At 46.3% G+C, this 7,496-nt stretch overlaps 1 long non-coding RNA gene across 1 annotated transcript; it reads right to left on the bottom strand.

Annotated features, from left to right (window-relative positions):
- Positions 1-4,418: 4,418 nt before the first annotated feature.
- On the bottom strand, positions 4,419-5,987 carry LOC105372019 (uncharacterized). The gene is made up of 2 exons (XR_935282.4): positions 5,613-5,987; positions 4,419-5,521 (listed from the first exon to the last, which is right to left on the bottom strand). It is a non-coding gene; the product is annotated as an uncharacterized LOC105372019 (long non-coding RNA).
- Positions 5,988-7,496: the final 1,509 nt, after the last annotated feature.

Genomic DNA, 7,496 nt, shown 5'->3' on the forward strand with positions numbered 1-7,496 from the left:
ATTCCTCAAGGGCTTAACAGACCAACCAGTGATATATGTGAAAAGGTTCACAAAATCCCTCTTGTTTTCTGAGTGGGGAAGGCAAGAGTGCTTTGCTGGGAAAGGGAAAGCCCCTCTGCTCTCCCCATCCACCTTTTGGTAGGTGCCTTTGCCATTAACCCCCCAATAAGTGTTCATTTGCTCCAGGATTACAAGGGGTGTTGCAGGTGGAGCGCTGGTCTAGCTCCCCCAACTCATCGCTGTTGTTCTTGGGCTGAGCTGACATTGCTGCCCTTCACTCTGGCTTTTTAGAGTCAGTTCTGCCCCCATAATGATAAGACTTTCCCTCCCGGGGCCCCTGATGTTTGTTCTCCCCCATGGCCACCTCTTAGGTCTTGCCTGCGTGTGGTTTTCTTCCTCCCAGCATGCAGTGAGGCCACAGGATGACAAACAAGCACCAGGGTTTGAATTCATGGGGTTGGTGGCGGGCTTCTTCTTGAGTGTGAAAAATTAAACATCTTTTTTTTCATTAGAGATCCCCCATGAGGGGGATTATACAGCACTTGCTGTGCTTTCCTTCCTTAGCACCACTGTCTCCACTCAAATCAGCTGTGGCCCCAAATGCTCTGGACCTCACGGTTGATACAAGACAGATACAGCCCTCAGTCCCTTTCCACATCCGAAACCCACGAAGCCTTGAACGCTGCAAGGTTTTTGTTGTTGTTGTTTGTTTTTGTTCTTTTTTTTTTTTTAAATAACACACTTGGTGCCCAAACCTGAACTCCCATGAAGCTATTATAACCTTCATTTGCCCACTTAAAGAGCCAAACATGTTGCTGCAGAATTATTAATATGTTTGTTTACAGGATGACACCTAAGACTCCTAGACCCTACTGGGGAGTTAGATAAAACAAGATATGCACTGATCTATTGTTCTAAAATTGGAAAGAGTCTGAATTCCAAACACACTTGGACCCTTGCATTTCAGAAAGTGACCATGCACCCATAACAATGGCTAGTCTTCATGGCGCACACTCATGTTTTAGGCCATTTAATCCCCACATAGCCCTATGGGAAGGTTCCTTTAGCTTTTCCATTTGACAGTGGGTGACACACAGAAAGATAAAGAAACCAAGACAGGCTGCACATTTAACAAGCACAGAGTCAGGACTGGACCAGGCAGCCTGGCATCAGAAACTTTTCTCTTGAGACTCCTTTGCACTGCCTGTGTTTTCTGTTTCACTCCTACTGAGATATTAATCACCTACCAAAACTCAAAATACCACGGGAAACAGCATTCTGTGGTGGTTAAGAATATGGACTATGGATATAGAATGCCTGAGTTTACATCTCAGCTCCATCACTTAGCAGCTGTGTCACTTTGGGCATGTTACTTAACTTCTCAGTGCTTCATCTGTAACATAAGGATAATAATAATACTTCTTAGGGTTGCTTGAGGATGAGTTAATATATGTAAGGTAACCCGGCACATGTCCGTGTTAACTATTATTATTATTATTTCATCTCACCTATCTGCAGCTGAACTAGCACCAACGAATCTCATTATATGTGAACTGAATTAGGTTAAGCTCTGGGGTCAGATCCTGATCTCTTTATCTAGTGGTTGACAGTGTCACTCACTGTTGACAGGACAGCCTCTAACAGGGGTTATTGTCATCTCACGCAGTAGTGTTTCCTGTGGGTACAGAGAGTGGCTGCATGCATAAACCAAGGGCTTCTCAACTTTCCAACATATTAATAATAAAATGAAAAGACAGAAAATCACACTTATTGACCAATTCCAAAGGAAATTCATTTTACTTTACCAAATTGTTACCAAAATATTTGCTTATTTCAACTCTGGAAAAATACCTTTGGGAGGATGAAAGGGTTGAACTTTTACTTTTTATGCTTCAAATAACTTCTAAACACAAGCCTGTTTGGTGAAAAGGGAAAAAACCTGTGAATGTCTCACTTTGCAAAAGAACAACAGGAAGCTCTGGTTGGCAAGGTTTTACATGCACTTCAGAGAGTTTAAGGTCAAGGTGCAGAAGGGCTAGTGAGGAACTGGAGCTGAGGCTGAGCTTGTGGCTTAAGGGGTGGGTGCTAGATTTCTGCCTGCTTAGGAGGGGCTGTGCCTCTCCCTTCTCCCTTGGCCAGCTGCTCACAGGAACTTCTTTTTCTGGAGCCTTGTAGAAGATTCATCGTGGTCCCAGCACTTACACATCTGAGCCAGCTCAGGCTGGATGGAAAGTTTTGAGGGCCACCTATTCCTAAATATTCAGGAGGAGAAAAGAAAATCCCTTGCAAATGACAGGAAAAAGCCATCCTTTCTCAATACTTAAACATGACATTATGATTCCTGGAAACCACAACAAAAAAACAGAACAACATTCACTCTGTCTCAAAAATTCAAATAGGCACAAGGCAATGACATATGGTAGTTTTTGTTTCTCACAGAACTGAGATCTGCAGTTCTCAAGGACTTTCTGGATGGTGACTACAGCCAGGGGCAATGAGGTCAGCGTGGCTGGGGCTTTCCGGTCACTGGTGGGCAGAGGAGCACAGGGAGCATGTACTGGGGTTGGATCTATAGGCTGGGAGCCAGCAGGCCTGCACTCAAATGCAGTTCTACCACTTTCTACTTGTGGGGTTTGCTGATAAGGCCTCTCTGCCTCAGTTCCTCAGCTGCAAAGTAGGGAGAATAATAGTATTTGGCTCCCAGGGTGGCTGTGAGCGTTAAATGAATGAAGACATAGCAAGGTGTTCAATACCTTGCACGGGTCAGCTATTTAGTTAATGTTATTTATTATTGTTGTGCTCTGATCCTACTTGTGCAATCAGGGGAATGCCATTAACCTCTTTTTGTCCTTGTTTCTCCCTTATAAAATGGAATAAAAATACTTCTTTTGGGGCTGTTGTAAAGTTTAAATGGAATAGTGTACAAATTGGCATTTATTGAGTTGGGTTCAATAAGTGGTAGCCTTCCCAGGAAGGATCGTTTGGGAGTCTTCTACACCTTAGATTCCCCATGAGATCTTTTCAAAGGCAAATCTGATAACACATCTTTTCTTCCTGGAGAAGCCAAGGTTTGATCCTTGCTCAGAGCAGCTTGAAGCAGCAGTGAGTGAGTAAAGCTGGCACCCCTCCAGCTGAGAGAGGAAACCTGAACAAAACCATGGAAGGAAGTATCTAGAAGGCTTTATGCAGTGCTAGGCACACTTCTAAGGATGTGATAACTTAGTTCAACCTCACACACTCTTACAAGCTGGAACTACTATCATTTCCATTTTGCAGGTGATGAAACTGGATTCAAACCCAAGTCATCTGGCCCTGGAGTCTGTGTCCTGGGCATAACACACTGCCCTGGCATAGGAACTTTCCGAGGAGATAGGAGGCTGAGATCATGGTGGGGAAATGAGCAGAAAGGCTGGTGGGAGTGCTGTGAACACCAGGCCAACCTTCAATTTAAAACAATTCCTTCAAGGAAACACAGCTCCAACTATTCCTTGTCAGCAGAGCAGCTGCACACAGTCCCTTGTCCTGTATGTCCTGATAATCGTCCTTTTCCACTTCCTCTCTCCCCTCCCCCTGGCCGACTTATTGATACCGACGTGGACAAATGAGGTCAGAAAACTTCAGTGACCGCACACAGTGTCCTTCTCTATGGGTCACTCGCTCACAAGGTCAGCACAACAAACCCTCCTGCTGCAAGGATTGTCCCTGGGAAGCTGGGGGAGGAGCCTGCGTGCTTCCGCGTCTCCCTTGACTCCTGCCTGTCCGAGGCCAGAATGGGACTGCGCTGATTAGAGAGGGAGCAATTCTGGAGGGCAGGAGTGAGGTGGAGGAGGTGACCCTGAGCTAGGCAGAAGATCACGTAGGAGGCTGTTCACTGAAATGAGCTTTTGCACTTGGAACATTACATAATCAGAGAACACCTTGTTACCTTGTTTTGGTAATAATTAAGAGTTCAAATCAATCACCTTTCCATTCATTATTTTTAAAACGACAGATGTCAGAAATCTAAACCTTGTTTTTACTGTTTTGGGGGATGCGGGGAAGCGAGATTAGCCAGCCTCTGAATCACCCACCCACATGTGGTACATTCCTTGGGGTAATTAGAAGATTGTATGTTCCTCTTTCCAGAGATACTTGAAGAATCATACTGTAAATTTGTGTAACATTTTATAAATTATTTTGCGTACATTTTTAGGAGATGAGAAATCATTTTGTTTCAGATTAAAAACTCTCTCAAAATAAAATCTAAATATCTCTTCCTGGACATAGCTTTTTTCAGACTGCAACTGCAGAATGGGGCTTTTTTCTATCTCTCTTTATTTAAAGATCACATAAATTTTAAGAAAAGAAAGCCACTGGTTTTAGGAGTCTAAGAGCAAAGATTTAGAAAGAAGAAAGAATACGCCTTTGGAAGATCTGCATACTTTGGAAATGAAGAGAGTTTTATTTCTTAGAGACAGGAGGAAGATTTATAGATTTATGTTTCCTCCATAAGACAAATGACCGAAGCGCACGTTGTTGGTTTTTTTCAGCACTAAATCTAATCAATAACCTTTGTTACGAAAGAAACAAATAATCGCTAAAGTTTAGTAAAGGTATAAAATTCACTAGGTTCTAGTGTTCGGGTTATTTGAAACGTGTGTGTGTGTCTCTCTCTCTAGAGCTGTGCTTCAGCTAATTCCTGTTAAATAGTTATGGAGTATTTTTTTCTTTTTGCTACGAGCCTTGCAACATATGAGACAAATCAGACAAGTTTAGAATCACAGAATGTTAGGGCTGGAGAGGACGTGGCGCTAGCCGCGTGCCCAGAGTTTACAGTTGAGACGTTGAGGCCCCCAGAGCTGCTGAGACTTGCCCAGTGTCACCTAGCTGCTGAGGCCCGGGGACCTCGTTGTCGCATCCGACCTGGGGCGTGCGCAGCTCTAATTCTCCGCTCTGAATGCTGGCCCTGGAGTTGCCCCTGCTCTCTCACAGCTCAATACTTGGGGACCAAACTCTCTCTCTTTCTGCTCCCCTCACCCCCACCAAGCGCCGTACCCACCTCCCTCGCTATCAAACAAAAGCTCCAGGCATTGGAAACGTTTCCCCGCCGGGAGCGCCAGGGTCCGGCCGCGCTGCGGGGTCGGTCTGCGCGCGCGGCGGGGTGGTGGGCGCGTCTGGCCGCCCGGGTCTTCAGGCGCGCAGCGACGCCGGCCCGGGCCGCCGGTCTCAGCGCCCGGCTCCGGCTGGGCGGCCCCGGACGCGCCGAGCCAGGCTCGCGGGGGTCAAGTCCAGGTTGCGGCGCAGGAAGGCGGCGGGGGAGGGGCGGGCCGGCCGCGCCCTCACCCCCTCTTCTCCGCGCCCAGTGCGGAATGATGGGCCGGTTCCCTCGGTGTGGTATGTCTGTATAAACATCGTTAGCCTCCGGGCCGACACGTGGTGCATTTTTAATTTCGCCTTACAAATTGCGGCCTCCTGGCGCTGGAGAAGCGGTGGGGGACCTTGACTCCCCGCCTTTCGGGTGCATTCCTGGGCTCCCGGCTGCCTAGACACGAAAGGGTGCTGTGCTTCCTGGCTTCGCAGCGCACCTCATTTGTAACATTATCTGTGCTAGGGAGTCAGTCTTTCCTACTTACCTGGAACTGGCAAAACGTGGCTGCATGGTAGGGTTGACTCTTAATCTCCCGGGGCGGGAGCAGAGCGCAGAATCCTCTTTCCACTCTATGTTCGCAACCACAAGCCCCGACAAGCGGCGCTGGCTGCTCCGTCCCGTCTGCGGGCCGCGGCTGCTCCGTCCCGTCTGCGGGCCCCAGGACCATGCGCTTCCCCGCGTCGCCCTCACCTGCGTCCCCACCACCTTTCCATAGCGCTCAGTCCTCTCCCACCTCCCCGTCTCGCTCACTTAGCGCACAGAGCCTCATCCGGAACCGCCCCAAACCCAAACCCTTTAAAAATCGATTTCGGCATCCCTCAATTCTCTGCTTTCTTCTTCCTGGCAGGAGGGGAATCATGCTCCTTACTTGGGAGGTTGTATTTTGAGGCAGATCATACAAATGACAAAGATGGAAATCCCTCAGAGCCTATGGCAGTTTTGACTTTAAACATGAGGCGAGTTAACAAGGCAAGCAGCGATAAATTCAGCCCAGGGCACGACCCAGCACTAAATCCTCCCTTACAGTGTCCAGATTTCTGGCCAAGTTGTCAATGTGATGCCCTCTTTCTCCACTGGCCTCCTCAACTCCCTTTTAGGTTGTGTTGTTTTTGTTGGTTCACTTTTGTTTTACTGCCAAGTTATCTCTGCCACCACTCCCCACCGCCCTCATTTTCTGATTCTGTTTTCCAAGTTTCTTACGCATGACCAGAATAACACACCCCACGCTTCTCCTGCTAAATCCCTCAAACTGCTGCCCTAGTAGAAATTTTGGAACAAGTTCGTGGCAGAACATTTTGTTCATTCCCCTACATGAGCTGCTGAAAGATGGAAGAACATGGTATTTGCTGGGAATGAAAACATGGGAAAAGCTTTTGGAACCGACACCGCTATATTCTTTTTGTCCCTTGCACAAGGTAATCGTGTATCCTTCACATTCTATATAAAAACAACCTACAAAAAACATGTAGCCCCCCGCCACTGGAGATGATCAGTACTGGGCAGGGTTAACCAAGAAGCACTTAGTGTGCCTGAGTAAATAGTGCGGGAAGGATGACAGCATGTTAGACTAATAGGCTGATCATAGCGATAAACTTGTCCCAAAGATTCTTTCCGCTTTACGTTGAACAGTTACTTTGCTTCAAAGGAAATGGGTAAATGGTGTTGGTTTTATGGCCTGGAACCCTCTACTCAGACAGCTACACAACAAGCCTGCATTAAACGTTGTGTTATCTTCCTGCTCCGTCAGATTTAGAAAGAAATAATATTATTACATACACCATAGTTTATTTCCCTCTTGATGTTCTACAAAAGGAAGGAGATCAAGTTACACGCGGAATAAGTGCTCCATGGAATAAATGGTCCACAAGGTAGAAGTAAGCAGATGATTCTGCCTGCCTACCTGACAGTGGTGGGGATTATACAAGGTAAGAAATAAAAAGAAAATGAGGATTTTCCCAAACACATAAAGGTTCTTTAAGCCTCACTCTGTTTCATGCTTTTGCTTTTGCTCAGCCGTAATAATAATGATAGTGATAATAATGGTAACTGCTAACATTTGCCAAATATTTATGATGTACTGAGCCCTGTGCTAAGCCCTTGCATACATGATCTTATTTAATTCTCACAGAACTTCAGTGGGGTGGGTCCCTTTTATCCCAATTTTATAGGTAAGGAAATGGAGTCAGAAAGAGCTTATGTAACTTGCCCAAGGTCACACTGCAAGGAAACAGAAGTGAATTTAAAGTACTACTTTTAGCCCCTGTACACTTCTGCCTCCTATGTGATTTCATGCTGAAAAGCCGTTGGCAAAATCAATCAAGAAATGAAATCAGCTCTATTAAACGTTGGATTCTGAAAATAGTTACTA

Source organism: Homo sapiens, chromosome 18, assembly GCF_000001405.40.
Source record: "Homo sapiens chromosome 18, GRCh38.p14 Primary Assembly".
Taxonomy (NCBI): domain Eukaryota; kingdom Metazoa; phylum Chordata; class Mammalia; order Primates; family Hominidae; genus Homo; species Homo sapiens.